Raw genomic sequence first — 20,927 nt, 5'->3', positions numbered from 1 at the left:
TGTAAGGGGCCCAGAGTCACCGGGTTCGCGCCTCTAGCAGCGACAGAAGGCGGCGGGGCTGAGGAACCTTCTCCAGCCTTTCAATGGAATTTCCCAGATGGGCCGAGGGGAAGCCGGGGCGGGTCACCAGGGGCCCTTTAACGAGTTCATTAGCCAAATTATCTTGCCTGCAGCACAGGGCCCCGGAGACTGCGGGGAGGGTGGGAGCAGAGGGCTGGAGGGTCTTTCTCCCTCCCACCTCGGTCTCTGCAGAAACAGCGGAGAGGGGCCTGTGTACAGAAGACAAGAGAAAAGACCCAGCCGGCCCAGCTGTTGCAAGAAAGGATCCCAGTGTGCGTTTCTGCTGCAAACACGACACCCCCTGTTGTTCCACTGGGAGGAGCCCAGCCCAGTCAAAGGCCAAGTGGGAAAATAAATTACTAGAATCACGCAACAAGGAGGTTATAATATAATAACTAATGCCATCAACCCCGATTATGGACGCAGCCCTGGTCTACGGGGCTTGTGGTCAGAGCTGGTGACACTCTTCGTGCCTGGGTCCTCAGCCGGTTTGCCCCTCGGTGAGGCAGAGGGCGGCCCATGCTGCTCCCAGGTGTGGTGTAAGCACTGGCTGAGGCTGCAGAAGGCCGCTGAAACCCCTGAGCATCTGGGGCCTCCTGGCAGGGATGGGCACTCTAGTGGCTCGGGAACTGTCCAGAGTCCATCTTAAATCTGCCCCCACCCCACACACCCTTACTCTGTGTGTGACGGTGGCTTCTCCATGTCCACATTCTCTCTGGTAAAATATTCCCAGTTCAAATGGTGAGGTGGGCAGCAGGTTCTTTTTTTCAGACAGTCTTGCTCTGTGGCCCAGGCTGGAGCGCCATGGTGCAATCCTAGCTCACTGCAGCCTCACCTCTACCCCTGGGCTCAGGCGATTCTCCTGTTCCAGCCTCCCAAGTAGCTGGGACCACAGGCACATGCCACCGCACCGGCTAAGCAGCGGGCTCTTGGCAGATTAGCTTCCCAACCCAGTTAGAAAGCAAAGGGGAGAGAGATGGGGTGCGGGGAGAAAAGCTGCCCTGGGAAGGGGAAGAGTGGGGAGAATGCGAGGCAAAGCAGCCAGGTCCCACCGGCATATAGAGCCCCTCCCAGGCGGGCCCCCAGCCCGGGACATGAACACTGTTGGGGGCGGGGAGGGCTCTTCAGGACTTGAATGCGTGCACCTGTGAGAAGAGCTTAGGCAGGGTTGCCAGAGGTGAACTTGACCACAAACACCATCCTGGGGAATTCCCCCTCCCCCACTGCCACAGCTCTGGGAAGTGGCCTAAGAGGAGGTCTCTCTCTCTCTCTCTCTCTTTCAGCCACCAGCAGCTGCAGCTTTTGCCACCTCAGCAACTACTAAATAGACCAATTAGTGCAGACTTCCTGCCATTATCGAACATGGACTTGGACATTAGTGCGCCACTATTCAGCCATAATTTCGAGTCAGAATGCGCTAAAAAATTCACACACTGAAGCATTCAAATGTCCCTGAGCCACATCTGTGTGTGTATTTGTGCTTCTTCCCTGTGTGTTTCACCCACCCAGCAGCCCGCAGGGCAGTAGTCACCATCCAGGCGCGATGGACGCCACCTTCTGTGACTCTGTCGAGTTGTATGTTGTCTGCGTTGTTCCCGGGTTGCAGAGCTGCCGGTATCTGTCAGTGTAACCCTCTCCTCCTCCCACTAGGGTGGGTGGGGGGAACAGGTGGGTTCTAAAGGAGTGCCTGGGCGCCCAGGCCAATGCTACCAGAAAGCAGTGTGGAGCCTTTGCAAAGAGTGTTGATTCCAAAACACATTTTCCGTGGAGGCTGGAGGCTGGGCTCTGGTAAAGCATGCAGGCAGTGCTCTCAGCCTCGCCATAAAGATCTCCTCTTTGCAAGACTCACGTAGCACTGTGGCCCGCAGGCTAGTGTCTATCTGGAGGGTAGTTCTGCTGCAGCATTCTGGGAAAAGTCCAGCTTATGCATGTGTTTGGTGGCTACCTTTTTTCTGCCAACAGTCTGCAGAGGGCCCTGCGTGAATCTGGAATAAAATAAAACAAAATAAAATGTTTGTAGCAAAGAGAAAAAGACTCCAGAGAAGGCTTTCATTTCTGTGGAGGGTTGTTATTCCCCCAAAACAATGAAAGGGGCTCAAAGGAGCCTCTCTTCCCTCCCAAGGTTTGTTTCTCTTTATGACACAAGAAGCTTCGAAGAGGCTGGAAAGGATTTCACCTTGTGTCAGAAGGAGACCTGGGCCAGAAGCTGAGCCCAGGGTGGCCAGGCCTGTCCCTTCCCTTCAGGGTCCAGGGAAGCTGGGAGGCTGCCCAAGGTCTGGAAGGAAGCAGAGATTTTTGTCTCTGGAGGAAATTTCCAAAAATAGAAGGCCCCTGGGTCACTGAATTTGACTAATTTAAATCCTGTGGCATCTCCCTAACTTCTCGCCAAGCCCCCCTGGTAGGGGCTGGTTGTTTGCAGCCAGGGCTGGGCTCAGAGGAGAGGGTCAAGCCAGTGACTTGGGGTGTTCTGGGGGGCTCACATTGCCAGTGCAGCCTGGGTGGTGCTGGCCATGCGAGAGGAGTCGGGGTGAGGGTGCCCTCTAAAATGGCAACAGGAAATCCAGGTTGCAGGGAGAGGCTGAGGAGGAGGGGCTGAGGGAGAAAACCCATAGAGCGGAGCACACAGCAGACCTGGGCCCACCTCAGGCCCCGCCTCGGTTTGAGGGTTTGAGCTGCAGGTCTTTGGGTTGCTAATCCTGAGCCTACCCTTTCCAGACTCCTTTAAGGCCCAGCTCCCAGGGGCCATAGAGGAGGTCAGCAGATCAAAGGACAGCATGAATGACTTGATGCCTTTGGCCCCCATTGCTCTGAAGGGGCTGGGGTTGGTGGGGGGACCTGAGCAGATGTCCCCAGCTCCGGTGAGCCTAGGCCCTCTCCACAGATTCTCCTTCCCTCTGAGCTCCAGGAAGGAGGTCGGAGCATCTCCCAGCAGTTCCTGCTCTGACCCTCTGGGCTCCCACTCCAGCCTAACTAAGCTACTTCCTGTGCCAGGGGCAAGTCCCATCTCAAACTCGTGCTTAGGTCCCTCCGGCCAGTTACACAGCATCTTCATGCCTGTTTCCTGAAGAAAGCCTTGACAGTTTACATTGAAACGGAACTGCATGAGTCCCCGAAGACCACATGGCTTCAGCAGGACAGGACTAATGTGCCTGGGCCCCTCTGCAGCCAAGTCCTCTCTGTTGGCCCTGGGCTTCAGTTTTGGAAATGCAAGATCTGCCCCCTGCTTCAGCCACCCAGTGCCCTTCCAGGCAACTGCTCCATTTCACATGGAAAAAAAGCAATATCTAAATGATAAATAAATGCATGATACCTGCCTCGCATCTTGTGAATATGTGAATGTACAGGTTTTTTCCCCAGTCCTCACGGGTTCCCAGTTGTGTGTGTAAGTCCAGATGTAAACAGACACAGACTACAACGGCGTTTTCTTTTGTGATGGTTTGTAGAAATCACCATCTCCTTCCCAAGTAGTGGAAGGAAGGGCAGCTGCAGGCACTCTTCAGTTCCTTAACAGGAGGCCTGTAGAAAGCAGGCTCCCGCGCTGGGCAGGGAGGAGCTGTGGTGGGGGCCAGCTGATTAGGGTGCACCAGGCCCTCTCTGCCTGTCTTGAGAAACCAAGAGCTCCAGGGAGAACTCTCCAGGGCTGAGTTCTGCCCCTGGGGCCGCTGGAGAGAAAACTCACCTGGAGACTCAGGTTTGGTAGCACTACTAGGATCAGACCTTTGATCTCTCTTTGTGGCCCTTCCCAAGACCCAAGCCCAGCTCCAGACTGCCCCAAAGCCAGCTGGGCTGGATCAATACAGATACTGGGAACAGGAAGAGACCCAGCAGGCTCCGCCTCACACATTGTAAACCACACAAAGATCCACACTTCCCAGATAGCTCCCTCTCTCCCCCACACCTGCCTCTCTCCATGCAGCTTTACAGAGAACCTCCTTTTTATATTAACATATTCTTAAATATAAGCAGAACATCTGATCATTTTAAGGCCCTATAGCTCCTTAGAGTCCATTTGGTCCAACCCCTGCTTCTGTAGACAAAGAAACAAATCCATCGAGATAAGGAGCTTCAGATTCCTGAAATGGCACCTCAGCCAGAGGGGCGGTCCGGACAGGACGCAGGGCTGCTAGGCTAGGCCTCCTCGGACAGCCTTGCACAGCCCCACAGGTGGTACAGACACCTGAAGGACCTGCACACGTGTTGTCCTGTCTGTGTTTTCAGGGAGGTGTCCTCAGCAGGTCTCAGGCAGAATAGAAACATGAGACAGGGTGTGAAGGGGTTTTGGACCATGGTTATTACAGAACAAAAAGGGGTGAAATTAATTCCTCTAGGAGTTAAAAAAAAAAGCCAGAAAACACCCACTGTGATTTTGTTGAAGGAGATGGCTGATGTCATGAGTCTAGACTACACACCCCATCACCAACTAAAATCACCCTGGCAGTGTGTATTTTTGGTTGGAGAGAGGAACAGCATCTTCTCCAAGGTCCATCCTGGGAGATTTCTTCTGCAGCCACTCCCTTCCCCCAGCTCCCTAAATCATTGACCTCAGGACCAAGCAATCTGCCCCCAGCAGATGGGGGTGATGAGAAGAGAAAGGCAAGTCAGCCTTGGTGCCAAACCCCTGGAGGAGGAGGCCAAGGCTGTGTTCTCTACCCTGGGGAGGCAGAGTCACAGCTAGGGCTTCCTGCCTGGGACAGGTGGCTAAGAATCTCTGGTCTCCTTTACAATCCTTCCCTCCCCAAAAAGAAACAGATGGGATGGGGACTCAGGGCTAGGTGTACCTGAAAGCTTTGAGGGCAGCAGGGTGGGAACAGTGTGGCCTCTGCAATCAGACCTGGTCCCACTCCCAGCTCTAAGGCCAAACTGTCTGCTGGGAACAAGGATCCCAAACTCTCTGAACTTGTACTCTAGAAAATGGAGATGATAGCCCGGGCACGGTCGCTCATGCCTGTAATCCCAGCACTTTGGGAGGCTGAAGTGGGTGGATCACCTGAGGTCGGGAGTTCGAGACCAGCCTGACCAACATGGTGAAACCCCATCTCTACTAAAAACACAAAAATTAGCCTGGCCTGGTGGCACATGCCTGTAATCTCAGCTATTGGGGAGGCTGAGGCAGAAGAATCGCTTGAACCTGGGAGATGGAGGTTGCAGTGAGCCATGATCATGGCATTGCACTCCAGCCCGGGCAACAAGAACAAAACTCCATCTCAAAAAAAAAAAAAAAAAGTGGGGGGCGCCTGGCGCGGTGGCTGACTCCTGTAATCCCAGCACTTTGGGAGGCCGAGGCGCGCGGATCAGGAGGTCAGGCGATCAAGACCATCCTCGCTAACACGGTGAAACCCCGTCTCTACCAAAAATACAAAAAAAAAAAAGAAAGAAAAGAAAATGGAGATACGGAGATGATAAAAATCTTCCTTCTAGTGTCATAGTGAAGATTACGGATGAGAATTGCAGAAAGCTCATAGCACATAGTAGGTGTTCAAGAAATGCGCGTGTTTCCCTCTCTCCAGTGAGAGGTAGAACTGCATTTGTGTCACCACAAAGACATCTAAAGGCACGACAAACTCCATGTGAATGCCTGGGATTTCTTTTTACCAGTGGTCGGCTCTGCAAAGCCAGATCACATTTACTCCAAGTTGCAGTTACTCATCCATTGCCATCCTCCTAACCTTCCAACCAGTCCTGTGCATCTGGGAACTACCCTGTGTTATAATGAAAACGATACCACTCATGGCAACAGAGTCACTGTCATCAACTCTCGCCTAGGTCAAAAGCCTTTTGAGGAGAAGTGGCAAGGTCTCTATATTTGCCTTTTTAAAAATCCCTCTTGTAGCAACCTGGCGTGCTAATTTTGAAGTTTACCTGGCACTGAGTTTCTCTTTGGCTCTCTCCCCTCTCCACAGCCCCTTCCGGTCCTTTATTCACCTCTCACCTGCATAGCAAGCCCTGGAACCTGGAACTCCCTCCCAGTTCTCACGCTTGCTGGGGAAGATAACTGGGTCTAATGGCGCTATTGACAAAGCCTGGTGTTGATGCCGCTTGACTTCCCGACCCCTGTGTGGATTCTTTCAGCTTCAAAAACGCCCTTGGAAGTGGTTTTACTGTAAATATTTGAAGTGTGCGTGTGGGGGAGGGGTGAGACCTGGATGCTCACTCCGTGCCTCGCTCACTCACGGGAAGCCCTTTCCTCTCCACTTCCCAGGAGGCCCCGGCAGCACGAGAGACATAGCCTTTCCCCGCTCCTGCCCGGGGACTGGCCGGGGGTCGCAGCGGCAGGGCTTCCGAAGGATGCCGGGCCCCACGGGTTTTTCAGGGCCGAGGTGTGTGGGCCTTGACTCCCGCAAGCCCATGGGCATCCCTCGGCAGCGAGGAAGAGCCTTGTCACCGAGGACCCGCTCCACTGAGCAGGCACGTGGGCGACGTCTGCAAGCCGACTTGGGTTCTGCAGGCCAGAGCGCCCAGATCTACCGTCTCCGCCTTGACTGGGGCAGGGGCTCCCAGAGAGGATTCGTGGAGGCCAAACTCACACTCACATGCGCGTTTACACCCCCACACCCCCGCACACACACCTGAAAATGCGGGGCCTTCCCATAGCAGATAAGGTTCGACCTGCAGAGCTTTGGCCACGGGGACAAAACCCTCCCCTGCTGCGCCCTGGAGGCCCGAGAGCAGGGAGGGCTTGGGAAACACCACGGTCTTCAGTGCGCTGCCGTCGCCTCGCAGAGCGGCCAGGTCTGCGCAGCGTGGGCGCTCAGGAGCGTGGAACCACCGCGCTCCGCAAGGCAGACGTGGACCCACTCCAGCGCCGACAAGGAGGCCGGAGAGGACGCGCGCAGCTGGCTCCAGGGACCAACCAAGTCCGGAGGGGCCCACGTGTCTCGGGAGCGGGTCTTGGGCCGCCGCGGGGCTCTCCAGGGGCCCGGGGGTTGCCAGTGCCCGCCGTCCGGCTCCGCACCCAGGGGAGGGCGGGCAGAGGCCCCAGGTTGAGCCTCGGAGTATCCACTCCCCGTTGGTGTCCCCGCCCGCCAGCGCCGCGCAACAGCCCGGGCTGCTTAGGACCTCGCGGCGCGGGGGCGGGGCGGCGGGCGGCCGGGACGGTGACAGGTGCGCCCCTCGGCCAATGGCGGAGCCCGCGGCCCTCCCCGGGCCCCCGCTGCGCGCGCCAATCGGAAGCCGCGCTGAGCTTCAAGTGCGCGGAGGGGCGCGGGTCCCCACCACGGCGGCAGCGGCCTCCGCGCGGTCGCCTGAGGGCTGCAGCGCAAAGAACCGGGCTCCCGGGCCCGGACGCGGGGAAGCACTCGCGTGGGAGTTTGTGCGAGCGCGGCCCGGGGCGGGGCCCGCACGGAGGAGGCGCCGGGACCATGGTCACCCTCGGCTGAGTTTCCGGCGGCGACTTTGATTATTGGCAAATAACCACCATAACAATACCGAGCCCCCGGGCTTGCACCGCACGCACTGACTCCGCGAGCCCGCACACGGCCGCGTCGCCCGCCACCGGGCCCTGAGCGCCAGCCCCAAACGAGCCGATGGAAAAATCCAAAAATTTCCGCATCGACGCCCTGCTGGCGGTGGACCCCCCACGAGCCGCCTCTGCGCAGAGCGCGCCGCTGGCCTTGGTCACGTCGCTCGCCGCCGCCGCATCTGGCACCGGAGGTGGCGGCGGCGGCGGCGGGGCGAGCGGCGGGACTAGCGGCAGCTGCAGCCCCGCGTCCTCGGAGCCGCCGGCTGCGCCCGCCGACCGCCTGCGCGCCGAGAGCCCGTCGCCGCCGCGCCTGCTGGCCGCGCACTGCGCGCTGCTGCCCAAGCCGGGCTTCCTGGGCGCGGGCGGCGGCGGCGGCGGCACGGGCGGCGGGCACGGGGGGCCCCACCACCACGCGCATCCGGGCGCAGCGGCCGCTGCCGCCGCCGCCGCCGCCGCCGCCGCCGCTGGGGGCCTGGCGCTGGGGCTGCACCCTGGGGGCGCGCAGGGCGGCGCGGGCCTCCCGGCGCAGGCGGCGCTCTACGGCCACCCGGTCTACGGCTACTCCGCGGCGGCGGCGGCGGCTGCGCTGGCGGGCCAGCACCCGGCGCTCTCCTACTCGTACCCGCAGGTGCAAGGCGCGCACCCCGCGCACCCCGCCGACCCCATCAAGCTGGGCGCCGGCACCTTCCAGCTGGACCAGTGGCTGCGCGCGTCCACCGCGGGCATGATCCTGCCTAAGATGCCCGACTTCAACTGTGAGTACCCTGCGGCCCCCGTGGATGCGCGTGGCGGGAGGGCCTCGCGCATCCTCCACCGGCACCGCCTGCCCCTCTCTGCGCTTGGCTCCCAGCGAGCGGGGGAAGAGCTGCGAAGCCGCCTCGGCTCTGCCCGGGGCCTGCGAGGACTCGCCCGGACCCCCAGGCATGAGACGGGCAGCGAATTATTAAAATGGCCATGCGCAGGCCTTGCCTTCTCTTCCTCTCTTAACGGGAAGGGGCAGTTGGAGGTGTGAGACTGAGATCTAATGATTAACCCGAAGGCTGCAGGAGAAGGAAGTCGCCGGGGGAAGGCGAGCCGAGAGCGCCCTGAATTAGGCAGGCCCGGGAATGGGGGTCAGGGCTTATCACCGGGGAAAGGAACTTGGGCCAGGTCCCCCACTGGGGCGTTAGAGAGACCCGCGGCCCCTCCAGGGAGAGGGAGTGCTTCAGGAGCAGCAAACAAGAGAAATGGGCTTCGGAGGCCCGGGGAGGCAAGGCCAAGGCCCAGGGAACCCCCGGCTCTTACCAGGGCGCTGCCCTCCTCTGGAAGGGCGTTGGATCCGGGGTGCGATGGCCGAGGCAGGTGGCCTGGCTTGAACCAGCTATGGGGGGACTCTCAACAGTAGGTGCCTGCCCTGGAATCCTGGGCGCCCAACAAGGTAACGAATGCCCCTCCAAGGTGGGGCCGAGGGAGCCCCTGTTCTCCCCACCCCAGAGCCGCTGGGCTTCGGGCAGCTTCCTCTCCATCCGGGCGGGACACCTCGCCAGAGGCCTGGGCCCCTCAGGCTTTCCTGGCACACGCGGACTCTCCGGGCTGGGGCTCCGGGGCTCTGGCTCTCTGGGGCTCTGGCTCTCCCCGCTCGCCCCATCGGGGTCAGCTACTTATGAGTCGGGCCGAGCAGATGTATATGGCTCAACGCTTTCAGCCGCCGAACACCCAAACAAAGAGACCCCATTGTTTCTGTCTGAGTGGATTTGTTTAGACTGGGGAGATGCAGGCAGAGCAGGGGAAAAGCAAAAAAGAAAACAGAAATAAACACTCCAGAATTCAGATTCCTTTGCTGGAAGCTGTGGTTGTGACTAAACAGAGAAAATCTAGGACCCCAGAGGCTGGAGAAGTCACAAGAGGGTGAGAAGAATCCCTGCAGAAGGCTGTTTGCCCACAGCCGCCCCAGGCTTTCCTAGCTCAGCTCCAAGAAGGCCCCAGTGGTCACCCATCCCTCACCTGGGAGAGTCAGCCCTACTGACTGGCTGGAAGAGGGAAAGCTGCCCCTCACCTCAGACACGTCTGCGTCTGCGAATCCCCTGCCAGCCTGGGCTTAAACCCAGGGTGCCGACCCAGGGCCCATCCCTTCTGATAGAAAGCCACCAATATGACCTGCATTTCCCAGAGCCAAGGACGCTAAGTTGCCCACGGAGGGGGCTGGCCAGCCCCGGGGGCCCGTGGTCCTAGGCCTCCTAGGGGTGCTTTCTGGAGCTTCGTGGAGCCCAGGGTCACTCAGAAAATTTATTAAAGTGAGACACCTTGCCTATTTCTGATTCCAAATGTTGACCTAGAGTTGGCCAAATTTTAAACACAACCAGTCTTAAGTTCAGAAGAGGTATCTGCACCTGGCAATCCAAAAGGGCAGGCATAACCGTGCCAAAGACGGCGGAATGTGTTCTGAGAAGTCCTCCTCGCTGGTCCGGGGAAAACCTGTTTGGTTTCTTTAATTGGTTGTCTCTGCCTGTTGGATGGCATTTCCCAAATGGTCCCTCCGGAGCCAGTGGTTTAATTAAAGTTCTAATGTATTGTCAAGTTGGGAATTCGGGGCCTTGTTTGACTAAAGCAGGGGGCGTGGGCCATCCTCTAAAGCAAACTGCCCATCCCGGGGGACCTGAGCTCATCCAGGCCTGGGGCTGGCCTCCTTTCTTTCCTTTGCTTTCTTTCTTTTATTGTCCAACACTTGTCAGGCTCCTGGGAAATCAAGGGAAGTCTCGTTTTGAGGTCATAAAATTCTCTGTGATGTAACCGTGCGAAATTATGTAAATAAAGCCGGGCAGGCCTCCTTGAACACACAGAGAACCGGATCCTGCCTGCGCCTCTGCCTGTAATTTGCGTAATGAGAATTGTCCTGAAAAGGCTTCTAGTCTCCTCAGGCCTTGCCCCTGCCGCCCGCACCCTGAGGAGGGGGCATGCCAAGGAAAACATTTGGAAGGTGGGAGGGTCCCTGGTGAATACACAGACTTGGACCCTGGGTTTGGTCCTGTTCCACCTGTCCTCTCTCCCTTCCCTTCCTCCCTTCCTTCCTTCCTTCCTTCCTTCTTTCCTTCTTTCCTTCCTCCCTCCCTCTTTCCCTCTCTCCCTTCCTTCCTTCCTCTTTTTCTCCTCCTCCTCCTCCTTTTCTGTCTTAAGGAGGCAGTGCAGGGAGACCTGGAACAGCAGGACCAGCTCTTCCCAGACCTGTTTGGATCTGAGCCTGAATCTCTAGGAAGGCGCAGTGAGGAGAGGGGGAGAGATTTGGTTCTCATCACTCACTGCTCCTTTATTTTATTATTTTATTATTTTTTATTTATTGAGAGATGGGGTCTTGCTGTGTCACCCAGGGTACAGTGCAGGGGTGCAGTCTCGCTCACTGCAGCCTTCAACTCCTGGGCTTCCCGGAACCTCCCTTCCTGGCCCCCGACTGGCCTCAGTTCTCCTCTTGCCTCTGGGTCAATCCACTGCTACCAAAGCCGGCTCCTGTGGAGAGGAAGCCTCCTGCGATGGGCCCTGTTTAACAGGGACACTCAGACGTCTCCTAGACAAAAAAAAAAAAAAAAATTGGTCTCATTAACTCCAAACTATCCATTTCCACTTGGTGGTCCTGAGTCCGCATTCCTTGGGGAGTGGGCACTGATAGTGAGGGAACAGCCCCGCCCTCTGCAGGGCCAGGCCTTGGCGCTGGGGCCTTGAGTGTAGTGGTACAAGCAGCAACGGGAGGGGCTGGGGCGAGGACCGGAGCCGGCTGTGGGCCTCACTGCCCTTTGGTCCCCAGCCCAGGCGCAGTCGAACCTCCTGGGGAAGTGCCGCCGGCCGCGCACCGCCTTCACCAGCCAGCAGCTGCTGGAGCTGGAGCACCAGTTCAAGCTCAACAAGTACCTGTCGCGGCCCAAGCGCTTCGAGGTGGCCACCTCGCTCATGCTCACCGAGACCCAGGTGCGCGCCCTCCCCGCCCCCGACGCATCCCGGCCTCCCAGGGGACACTGTTACCTTTGCACTTGTGACCCACGGGCGGTCTGAGGCATCTAGCGCTGCGCCTCGACGGTTCAGACGGCGGGCGCACGGGTTCATCTAAGGTGCCCAGAGCGCCGATTCAGTAGCTTCGGGTGGGGCCCAAGAATCAGCACTTAACCACCCCTCCTTTCATTCTGAAGAAGGTGATCCCCAGGCCGCATTCGAGAAATTTTGTTCCAGAAAGAGAGGAGGGAACATCCTGAGATTTACCGCGACGTAGCCAGCTGCCCTGACCCTTCCTCCGCAGACGGAGGGCGCGGGTAGAAAAGTCCCCGGCCTGGGTCGTTGGGGACATAGTCCTAGCTCCCACGGAGCTCCAGCCCAGCTCTGGGGTTTGCTGCTGAGTGGGGGGTTGCGGGGAGGAGGAAGCTACGAGCCCCCTCCCCATTCTGCTTCTAAGTCGTCTCACCCTGAGGCCATTCCAGGGCCGACCCAATGGGGCCCAGGCGCACGCGGCCGGGGGACTCCGGGGACAGGAAGCCCTGGGGTGGCGGTGGCCGGTTTCTCACGCCCGCTTGTGCCCGCAGGTGAAGATTTGGTTCCAGAACCGGCGGATGAAATGGAAACGCAGCAAAAAGGCCAAAGAGCAGGCGGCGCAGGAAGCGGAGAAACAGAAGGGCGGCGGCGGGGGCGCGGGGAAGGGCGGCGCGGAGGAGCCGGGAGCCGAGGAGCTGCTGGGGCCGCCAGCGCCCGGAGACAAGGGCAGCGGACGCCGCCTGCGGGACTTGAGGGACAGTGACCCCGAGGAGGACGAGGACGAGGACGACGAGGACCATTTCCCCTACAGCAACGGCGCCAGCGTCCACGCCGCCTCCTCCGACTGCTCCTCGGAGGACGACTCGCCGCCCCCGCGGCCCAGCCACCAGCCCGCGCCCCAGTAGGAGCCCCGCGGCCCAGCAGGTGCGGCGCGCACGGAGCGCCCCGGCCGGCGGCTTCTCCCGGAGGCCCCGGCGCCCGCACCCACCCGGCCCGGCCCCGAGAGCAGGCTCGACCGCCGCCCCATGGACCCCTCGCCCAGGCCGGGGCTGGAGGGATTCGGCCGCGGCTCCGGTCCTGGGCGCTTCCCTTTTAAGCAAGGGCGCCTCACCTGCTCTTCAAGAAACAGCGAGAGGGAGACCCAGGGGGCTGAAACTTGAACTCTGGTTCTTTTAAAATTAATTTTGGTTGGTGTTGGGGGAGGCGCGAGTGCGTGTGAGAAGAACCGACCCACCCCGCGCAAGGGGAAGCCTCCTGTCTCCCCTTTCCCCGCGTCCGAGAAGGCGGAAACCCACAGTGTTACCTGACTTATGAAACTTGAAACCGCCTCTGGAGCCGCCATTCTGCAGAGTATTTGGAAAAAGAAAAAAGGGTTTATGCTTACGTCTCTGGGGTCGGGGGGATTATGTCACGAGCGTTCAAACTGCTGGAAATCTCAAAACTGTACTGTCTTTATTTTTGTATATTGTATTTATATATAAAAAGAAACGTCTACGTATGCATGCTAAATTATTATTTAGCTTCTCCCATCGCCCACGATGGAATGTAAAATAAATTGGTTTTGTACTGGATCAGCGTGCACGAGTTTTGGGGGATTATGCCCGCGGCATTACAATTTGCTTGTAGAAATGATGGGGAGGGTGTCTACTCGGCGGTTGGCAGCTGAGGGTGAAAATCGGAGTCTCAAGTGGGTGTCAGGACCACCTCCGCGCCTGCTACTGGGGAGTCGCAATGTGAAGTGTTGGCAAAAATACCTGTGGCCAGGTGTCAGCGCATGCCCGGCTGCCTGGTGCACACCTGTCCCGGGACACGTGTCCCTCGGAAGCGGAGCTGTGGACTCTATTTATTTTCCTATTTCCTTGCTAGCTGTTGCTTCGTTGGCACTCCAGAAGTGGAAATACGCTATTTGGACGTTTCAGAAAATAAGCTTAAAACGACTAGGCGTTAGTAGCATGTGGGGTCCCTGTGACCTCAGGCGCTACTGAGGCACATTTCCCGGAACGCACCGAATTGCGCGGTGCTTCTCTCTCTCCTCGACCCCGGCCCTCTCTGTTAGCAGAACCTTCCTTGGCTGGCCAGGATCGGTCTTCTTGGCTCTGTGCAAACAAGTCCGCGAGGACAGCGGCGGACTGCAGCAGCGCTCCACACCGCGGCTGCAGCGGCTCCGGGTTAATCAGCCTCTGCAGCGCGCGCCATCAATCACCGCAGCCAGGCCCAGCGCCATGTGCTGCACACATGCGGGCTCAGCCCGCGCTCTCGTCCGCCCAGGAGCGCAGGCCCGCGGCCCACCCAGCCCGGCGCGACTCCCGGCCCCCTTCCCCCATCGATGACCCAGTGGCCTCTCCTGGCCCCGGAGGAGACGGGCGACGGGGACGCCGCTCCTATCCCTTCTCCCGGGCCTTCCTCCTTCCTTCTGTTTGTCACTTTCTCAGCAGCACCTGCGTGTGCCCTTCTCCTCCCTCCTCCCCTCCCCTCCTCCCAGCGGATAAAATGAGTTCAGAAGGGCCTGGCGTTTCATTTGGGTGATTACCGCGGGGCGAGCGCAGCCACTCCTCTGCCTCAGGGCGCGGGGAGATTAATATCCTCTCTGGCAACTCATTATCACCCCGGGCCCCTTCCATAAAATCAACCTCATCCAAGGCCGGGGCGCGGCTGCTGGGAGTCCGGGCAGAAGCAGCTGCTGGGCGCTGGCGCAGGGGCCGGGCCTCCGCCGCCTGGGGTCCAAAGGTGTTTAGGGGAACTGGGAGAGGGTTTGCCACTGGTGGAGGAGGCAGAGTGCCCAGAGGAAGAGGGTGGGAAAACCAGAGGGAAGGGGGGAAGACAGATGCTTTTTTTTTTTTTTTTTTTTTTTTTTTTAATCTGCAATCCCTACATTTCTTTTTAATTTCTAACACATTGGTGAGGTTCAGCCTGCAGCAATCTCTCCCCTGGCTGGCCCCACATCTGGGGATTATTTTCCCCTTGGGCTCAGCCGGCCCAGCCTCAGCGCCCTCACCAACACTGGGCAGCCAGGGAAGAGTGGGGGCTCGGCCTGGAGCTGGGGTGCCCCAGGCCTCCGCGGAGGGTCTGTCCCTCTACCCCCAGGGGACAGGCGCTTCCTCTGGGACGCGGGGAAGAGCGACATCAAAGGAAGACGCTGTTAATAGGGCCGCCCCTCCCCCGTCCTCCAGCAGAGCCAGGCCCCGGACCTGCGCCGGCCCCTGCGCCTCCAGCAGGCCGCTCAGTCGCCGCGGAATTTATCTCGCTAATAAATTTAATGATCAATTCGTTCTTGTCACAGTAGCTCTTCCCCAAATCAATTATAGCAAATTTAAATATAATCACTGGCTCGTCCTCATCCACTCCGGGCACGGTGAACAATTCATTCTGCCTAATGAACGGTCTCGAGGCCCGGCTCTGCCCGCCTTGCGGGCGCGACCCCCACCCCTGGGCGCCGCGCTCGGGGTCGCTGACTCGGCTCGGCCTGGGGCGGTGGTCCCTCGGGGCCCAGGCCTCCAATCGCACCTGAGCCGCCAGCTGACCCCGCGCATGGGGGAGAAAGTCTTTGCAGCCCTCAAGAATCCGGTTCTCCGGACCTGAAGCCAGGTCTACGCAGGGGGACCCCGGAGGGAGCTGAGGCGGTGTTTTCAGACAGGCCCAGGCTTCCCCCACGGGACATGTCTGCTGTCCTCTAGCTGTCCCGGAGGCCTGCGGATCTCACTGCCTTCAACAGAAGCGAAGGTACGCGGGGGGAGACCCCTGCGGCGGCCGTCACTGCGACCCGGGGCTCTGGGCCCCACCCAAAGCTGACCCTGTCCCCTGGAACCCAGCCTTGCCTCCTTGCCCTACCGAGGCCCCCACCTCTTGGCCACCGTTTTCTTTGCTCCAATGTGGGTTCTCCTCCCTTCTTAGAAAGGGGGGCCTTGCTGTGGGCGAATTCTGCCGGGCGTGCAAACGCATGTGGAGGAAGCCTTTTTTGTGACGGGAGAAAACAGTTCACACACGCCCCCCAGACGGAGGCCCAGGGGGCTCCTTTCCAGCCCCTCCTGGAGCTCCGGCTGCCAGGTGAGAGGCAGCCAGGAGACCCCGGTTAATCCCTGGTGTCAGGGAGTAAAGAAACAGCTCGAAGGGAGAGGAGGTGGACCTGTCCCTTCCCTCATCCGGTGACTTTCCTTCTTTGATACTGAACACAAGGCAACCAAAGCAAAAATAGACAAATGGGACTGCATCAAACTGAAAAACGTACGCGCCACAAAGGACGATCAACAAGAGTGAAAGGCAACCTGGGGATGGGAGATATCATCTGCAACACGCGAATCAGGGAATGGGTTAATGTTCAGATTATGTAACTCTCAGCACTCTACAACAAAACCAAATTAAATGGGCAAATGACTTGAATAGATATGACTCCAAATAAAATTTTGAAACGGCAACACACATATGAAAAGATGCTCAACACCAATAAGCATCAGGGAAATGCAAATCAGAGCCACAGATCCACCTCACACCTGCTAAGATGGCCAATATAAAACAAACAAAAAGCACAGAAAATAGCAAGTGTTGGTGAGAATGTGGAGAAATTGCAGCTGTGGTCAGAATGTAACATGGCATAGCCATTATGTAAAATAGTACAGAATTTCCCTCAAAAAATTAAAAATCAGGCTGGGCGCAGTGGCTTACGCCTGTAATCCCAGAGCTTTGGGAGGCCAAGGCGGGTGGATCACGAGGTCAGGAGTTCAAGACCAGCCTGGCCAAGGTGGTGAAACCCCGTCTCTACTAAAAATACAAAAAATTAGCCGGGCGTGATGGCGGGCGCCTGTAGTAGCAGCTACTTGGGAGCTGGGGCAGAGAAGTGCTTGAACCCTGGAGGCGAAGGTTGCAGTGAGCCGAGAACGTGCCATTGCACTCCAGCCTGGGCGACAGGGCTCAAAAAAAAAAAAAAAAAAAAAAAAAAAGTCAAATTACCATACGATCCAGCAGTCTCAGTTCTGGGTATATATCCAAAAGAATTGGAAAAAACAAAAAGATCTCAAAGAGACATTTGCACACCCGAGTTCATTGCAGCACTCTTCACAATTGCCAAGAGGTGGACGCAGCCTACGTGTCCATCAACAGAGAAATGGATGAGGAAAATGTGGTACACACATACGGTGGAGCGCCATTCAGGCTTTAAAAAGAAGAAAATCCTGTCACATGCTACAACACCCATGAACTCTGAGGACTTTATGCTGAGTGAAATACCCAATTACAAAAGACAAACAGTGGCCCTGCGTGGGGGTGCCCTCCTGCCGTCCCAGCTACTGCGGAGCCCAGGCGGAAGGATGGCTTGAGCCCAGGGGCTCCAGGATGCAGTGAGCTATGATGGCACCATTGCACTCCAGCCTGGGCCAGTGTGAGACCTCATCTCTAAAAAAAAATAGTAATAAATAAGCAAGCAAATGAACAAAAAGACAAATGCCGCAAGATCGTGTGAAATATCAGTTTAGATGAGTCAAACTCTAAGAGAGTAGAATGGGGGTTGCTAGTGGTTCGGAGTGGGGTACTGGGGAGTCGGTGTTTCTTGGGGACAGAGTTTCAGTTTGGGAAGATGAGAAAGTTCTAGCGTCTGTTGCATAATGCACATAGTTAACCCTCCGGTACTAACACGTGAATGGTCACAATGATTGTAAAAATAATTTTGTTGTTTTTTCTTCCTTCCTTTTCCTCTTCCCTCTGCTCTCCCTCTCCTCGCCTCCGACCCCAGCCCCTCCTTGCTGAGCTGCTCCGGAGGGGCGCCCGGGCCTGTTCCTCAGCACCTCTCAGGTTTCCGGGTCAACTGACCCGCGGCCTCCCCCTTCCCTCCCCCACCCCGCCCCCGCCCCCGCCAGCGGAGGGCAGCGCTGAGTGCGCCCCAGGCTTGGAGGGGGCTGCCGGGCGGAACCGTCCGGGGGAGGGGAGTGCGGCGCGGAGGGGCGCTGGGACCCGCGTGGGGCGCGGCGGCGAAGGGGGCGCCCCCCAGCCCCCCGGTATCAAAGTCTTGCGGAGCGCTGTCTCCCTCCTTAAAACTAATCCCGTCGGAGGTGTGACCTCCACCAGGGATGCCGCGGCGCTCCCGACCACAAGGGCAAGTATGTTTTTCAGATTTGGTTTTTATGGTGGGATTAAAGTTTATTTTCCATAATAGGGCACCTAATAAAACTCCTAAAGCCGGCCGGGCCTCCAGCTGGTGGCCCTGGTTTCACACTTTCACTTCGTAAATCACTTTACGACGCGCCAGGTGTGTCTCAAGCTGGACACGACAGGAACGGGCGGCGGCCGCGGGTTTGTCCAGCGCGGGGGTCCCCGGGTTCGCGCCTCCCCCGCTCCGCCCCCCGCGCCCCGCTCCGCCCCCGGGCTCCCCCATCCGCGGCTGCAGGGGACCCTCGGGGAGGAGGCGGGCCCGGCCGAGGCTTCCTGAGGACCCCCCGGCCCCGGGCCCGCCCCCCGGCCCCGCGCCGACCCTACATTCCGCCCGCGCACCTGGCGCCCCTCCCCGAGTACACACCGTGCGGACAATGCGCGCCCCGGGCCGGACAAAGGTGCCCCCGAGACGGCGAGCGAGGCGGGGCGCGGTTTACCCAGCTGGGGGCAGGAACAAAGGCGCGGCCTTATCGCCCGCGGGCCGGGGCGGGCCGGGGTCAGGCCGGGGGCCGCGGGCGGGGCCTCTCCAGCCCGGGACGGGGTCGGGGGCGCCGCTCAGGCCTGGGCTCGGGGTTTGCTGGGTGGGCTCAGGACGCAGTGACCCAGGGGCTCGGCCCGAGGCGTTTCACCCCCGATCGCCGCCCTGAGGGTGTCCGGGTCCGGAAGAAACTGCTGAAGTGGGCCCTGGAAGCGAAAGAACAGGGACTCTTGGAGACTGGAACTGCTGCTTGTGCTTCAGGCTAGAAGTGCACCCGTTTTTTTAAAAAAAAAAAAATTGATATGTATTATTGTAGGTATTTTATTACTCAGAGAAGGTGGAAGAAACAGCCTGCTTTTATGACAAAGCCTGTAGTTTTGTATTTGCCTTTTGTTAACATTGCAGTTCACCTTCCCGCTTAGCAGCCTTTCTGCCAAGGAAAGAAGGAAAGGAAGGAAAGGAAGGAAAAAAAAAAGCGTAAGGATCAGTTCCTGGGCAGGGGACATTGTGAGGAGCATGACAGCGCCCAGCGTCTTTTCTAGAAAGCTCGGACAGGACAGGCACCTGAGAGGAGGCTCCGGCTCTGGCCCATTAAGCCTCAGGCTTAGCTGGCTCCTGCGAACTGCGTCTGTCAACGTCCCTGCTTTAGGCAGGGCCGCACCCAGGAGGCTGAGGGTTCTGGCTCTTCAGAGCAGGGGGGCCATGCCTGTAATAGGAAGCTTGCAGTGTTTCTGTAATAGTAGATAACTCTGTAAAAGAAATGCAAGGTGGGGGGGAGGGGTCCTAACAGCTTTACTACGTCTTGTTATTATCTTTTCTTTAAATATTAATTTGTATGGGTACATAGTAGGTGTATATATGTCTGGGGTACATGAGATGATATGAGAAGCAACTCGCAGTAATCACTTCATGGAGAATGGTGCACTCATGCCCTCCGGCATTTACTCTATGTTACAAACAATCCAATCAGACTCTTAGTTATTTTTCAATGTACAGTTAAATTATTATTGACTATAGTCACCCTGCTGTGCTATCAAATACTAGGTCTTATTCGTTCTTTCTATTTTTTTGTACCCATTAACCCTCCCTACCTACCCAGTGATGTCCCCGCCGCCCACCACCACTCCCCTTCCCAGCTGCTGGTAACCAGCCTTCTATCCTCTATCTCCATGAGTTCCATGGTCTTGACTCTTAGATCCCACAAATGAGCGAGGACATGCAATACAAATTGTGTCTTTTCTTCAGTCTGCAATATGTATGTATTACCTTTTACTACCTGGTCCGTTTATTCTCGTGATTAACTTATTCCAGGTCTTTAGACACACACATGTCATCGGATTAAGCACAGGCTGACCTCGTTTGATTGTGCTTTTTGCTTTCTTGCACTTCACAGAGATTTCATTTTTTTACAAATTGATGGCTTGTGGCAATCCTGCATAAAGTAAATTTGTCGGCGCTGTTTTCCAACAGCATGTGCTCATTTCATGTCTGTGTCACATTTGGTAATTCTTGCAATTACCAAGAATTCTTGCAAGTATCAAATTGTTTCATTATTATTATATCTGTTATGTGATCTATGATCAGTGACCTTTGATGTCACTATTTTAATTGTTTTGAGGTCCCACAAACCTTGCCCATATAAGATGGTGAACGTAATTGATAAATATGTGTGTGTCCTGATTGCCCTACTAACTGGCTATCCTCCATCTCTCTCCCTTTCCTGGGGCCTCCTCGTTCCCTGAGACACAACAATATTGAAATTACGCCATGTAATAACACTGCAATGTCCCCTAAGTTCAAGTGAAAGGAAGAGTAACACATCTCTTACTTTCAATCAAAACCTAGAAATGATTAAGCTTAGTGAGGAAGGCATGTTGAAAACTGAGACAGGCTGAAAGCTAGGCCTCTTGTGTCGGTTAGCCAAGTTGTGAATGCAAAGGAAAAGTTGTTGAAGGAAATTAAAAGTGCTACCCCAGTAAAGATGCAAATAATAAGACAGAAACAGCCTGACTGCTGATGTGGAGAGAGGTTTAGTGCTCTAAATAGTAGATTAAACCAGCCACAATATTCTCTAAATAGAAGATTAAACCAGCCACAATATTCCCTAAACCACAGCCTAATCCAGGGCCAGGCCCTAACTCCAAGGGCCTTCTGGGAGGGCTGAGAGGTGAGGAAGCTGCAGAAGAGCTGGAAGCTGGCAGAGGTTGGTTCATAAGGTTGAAGGAAAGAAGCCGTCTCCATAACATAAAAGTGCAAGGTGAAGCAGCAAGTGCCAATGGAGAAGCTGCTGCAAGTTCTCCAAAAGATCCAGCTAAGGTATTTGATGACGGTGACTTCATACACAGGTTTTCAGTGTCGACAAAACAGCCTTCTATTGGAAGAAGATGCCATCTAAGACCTTCATAGCTGGAGAGGAGAAGTCAGCACCTGGCTTCAAAGCCTCAAAGGACAGGCTGACTCTCTTGTGAGGGGCTAATGCAGCTGATGACCTTAAGTTGAAGCCAGTGCTCATTTAGCATTCCAAAAATCCTAGGGCCCTTAAGAATGATGCTAAATCTACTCTGCCTGTGCTCTGTAAATGGACCAACAAAGCCTGGATGACAGCACATCTGTTTACAGCATGGTTCACTGAATAGTTTAAGCCCAAGTTGAGACCTACTGCTAAGAAAAAAGGCTCCTTTCAAAACATTACTGTTCATTGACAACGCACCTGGTCACCCGAGAGCTCTGATGGAGATGCACAAGGTAGTTAATGTTGTTTTCATGCCTTCTAACACAGACATGAAACATTCATTCTGCAGC

The 20,927-nt window shown here is 56.8% G+C and overlaps 1 protein-coding gene and 2 long non-coding RNA genes across 4 annotated transcripts, besides 13 other annotated features; 1 reads left to right on the top strand and 2 right to left on the bottom strand.

Moving 5' to 3' along the window:
- Positions 376–535: an enhancer, noted in NCBI's record as "active region_26922". NCBI's record gives its function as "activates an Ori minimal core promoter by ATAC-STARR-seq in GM12878 lymphoblastoid cells {active_cell/tissue: GM12878}" and the evidence as "EXISTENCE:reporter gene assay evidence [ECO:0000049][PMID:35858748]".
- Positions 766–815: an enhancer, noted in NCBI's record as "active region_26921". NCBI's record gives its function as "activates an Ori minimal core promoter by ATAC-STARR-seq in GM12878 lymphoblastoid cells {active_cell/tissue: GM12878}" and the evidence as "EXISTENCE:reporter gene assay evidence [ECO:0000049][PMID:35858748]".
- Positions 846–925: an enhancer, noted in NCBI's record as "active region_26920". NCBI's record gives its function as "activates an Ori minimal core promoter by ATAC-STARR-seq in GM12878 lymphoblastoid cells {active_cell/tissue: GM12878}" and the evidence as "EXISTENCE:reporter gene assay evidence [ECO:0000049][PMID:35858748]".
- Positions 936–1,025: an enhancer, noted in NCBI's record as "active region_26919". NCBI's record gives its function as "activates an Ori minimal core promoter by ATAC-STARR-seq in GM12878 lymphoblastoid cells {active_cell/tissue: GM12878}" and the evidence as "EXISTENCE:reporter gene assay evidence [ECO:0000049][PMID:35858748]".
- Positions 1,076–1,185: an enhancer, noted in NCBI's record as "active region_26918". NCBI's record gives its function as "activates an Ori minimal core promoter by ATAC-STARR-seq in GM12878 lymphoblastoid cells {active_cell/tissue: GM12878}" and the evidence as "EXISTENCE:reporter gene assay evidence [ECO:0000049][PMID:35858748]".
- MNX1-AS1 (MNX1 antisense RNA 1 (head to head)) lies at positions 1,510–7,077 on the bottom strand. The gene is made up of 2 exons (NR_038835.1): positions 6,627–7,077; positions 1,510–2,045 (listed from the first exon to the last, which is right to left on the bottom strand). It is a non-coding gene; the product is annotated as an MNX1 antisense RNA 1 (head to head) (long non-coding RNA).
- Positions 6,860–7,469: a silencer, noted in NCBI's record as "silent region_18859". NCBI's record gives its function as "represses an Ori minimal core promoter by ATAC-STARR-seq in GM12878 lymphoblastoid cells {active_cell/tissue: GM12878}" and the evidence as "EXISTENCE:reporter gene assay evidence [ECO:0000049][PMID:35858748]".
- Positions 7,271–13,080, top strand: MNX1 (motor neuron and pancreas homeobox 1). Of its 2 annotated transcripts, none has more exons than NM_005515.4 (3): positions 7,271–8,274; positions 11,295–11,455; positions 12,061–13,080. In NM_005515.4, the coding sequence occupies exons 1-3, from the start codon at positions 7,584–7,586 to the stop codon at positions 12,412–12,414; spliced, it is 1,206 nt and encodes a 401-aa protein (NP_005506.3). In that variant the 5' UTR covers positions 7,271–7,583; the 3' UTR covers positions 12,415–13,080. The 2 variants fall into 2 exon arrangements, with proteins under 2 accessions (NP_005506.3, NP_001158727.1); NM_001165255.2 differs by lacking the exon at positions 7,271–8,274 and adding an exon at positions 8,499–8,936.
- Positions 7,980–8,049: a silencer, noted in NCBI's record as "silent region_18858". NCBI's record gives its function as "represses an Ori minimal core promoter by ATAC-STARR-seq in GM12878 lymphoblastoid cells {active_cell/tissue: GM12878}" and the evidence as "EXISTENCE:reporter gene assay evidence [ECO:0000049][PMID:35858748]".
- Positions 8,060–8,109: a silencer, noted in NCBI's record as "silent region_18857". NCBI's record gives its function as "represses an Ori minimal core promoter by ATAC-STARR-seq in GM12878 lymphoblastoid cells {active_cell/tissue: GM12878}" and the evidence as "EXISTENCE:reporter gene assay evidence [ECO:0000049][PMID:35858748]".
- On the bottom strand, positions 10,814–11,627 carry MNX1-AS2 (MNX1 antisense RNA 2). Its single transcript, NR_147077.1, has 2 exons — positions 11,510–11,627; positions 10,814–11,057 (listed from the first exon to the last, which is right to left on the bottom strand). It is a non-coding gene; the product is annotated as an MNX1 antisense RNA 2 (long non-coding RNA).
- Positions 12,001–12,653: an enhancer, noted in NCBI's record as "H3K27ac-H3K4me1 hESC enhancer chr7:156797975-156798627 (GRCh37/hg19 assembly coordinates)". NCBI's record gives its function as "activates a minimal SCP1, AML or CMV promoter by ChIP-STARR-seq in naive H9 embryonic stem cells {active_cell/tissue: H9 hESC(naive)}" and the evidence as "EXISTENCE:reporter gene assay evidence [ECO:0000049][PMID:30033119]".
- Positions 12,038–12,232: a silencer, noted in NCBI's record as "fragment chr7:156798396-156798590 (GRCh37/hg19 assembly coordinates)". NCBI's record gives its function as "represses an EF-1alpha promoter that drives an FKBP-Casp9 reporter gene in an ReSE screen in K562 erythroleukemia cells {active_cell/tissue: K562}" and the evidence as "EXISTENCE:reporter gene assay evidence [ECO:0000049][PMID:32094911]".
- Positions 14,370–15,076: an enhancer, noted in NCBI's record as "H3K27ac-H3K4me1 hESC enhancer chr7:156795552-156796258 (GRCh37/hg19 assembly coordinates)". NCBI's record gives its function as "activates a minimal SCP1, AML or CMV promoter by ChIP-STARR-seq in naive H9 embryonic stem cells {active_cell/tissue: H9 hESC(naive)}" and the evidence as "EXISTENCE:reporter gene assay evidence [ECO:0000049][PMID:30033119]".
- Positions 17,450–17,620: a silencer, noted in NCBI's record as "fragment chr7:156793008-156793178 (GRCh37/hg19 assembly coordinates)". NCBI's record gives its function as "represses an EF-1alpha promoter that drives an FKBP-Casp9 reporter gene in an ReSE screen in K562 erythroleukemia cells {active_cell/tissue: K562}" and the evidence as "EXISTENCE:reporter gene assay evidence [ECO:0000049][PMID:32094911]".
- Positions 18,048–18,167: a silencer, noted in NCBI's record as "silent region_18856". NCBI's record gives its function as "represses an Ori minimal core promoter by ATAC-STARR-seq in GM12878 lymphoblastoid cells {active_cell/tissue: GM12878}" and the evidence as "EXISTENCE:reporter gene assay evidence [ECO:0000049][PMID:35858748]".

Source organism: Homo sapiens, chromosome 7 (assembly GCF_000001405.40).
Source record: "Homo sapiens chromosome 7, GRCh38.p14 Primary Assembly".
In the NCBI taxonomy this organism is placed as follows: domain Eukaryota; kingdom Metazoa; phylum Chordata; class Mammalia; order Primates; family Hominidae; genus Homo; species Homo sapiens.
Note: the sequence above shows the minus strand (reverse complement) of the source record. Positions and strands in the feature narration are given on the sequence as shown.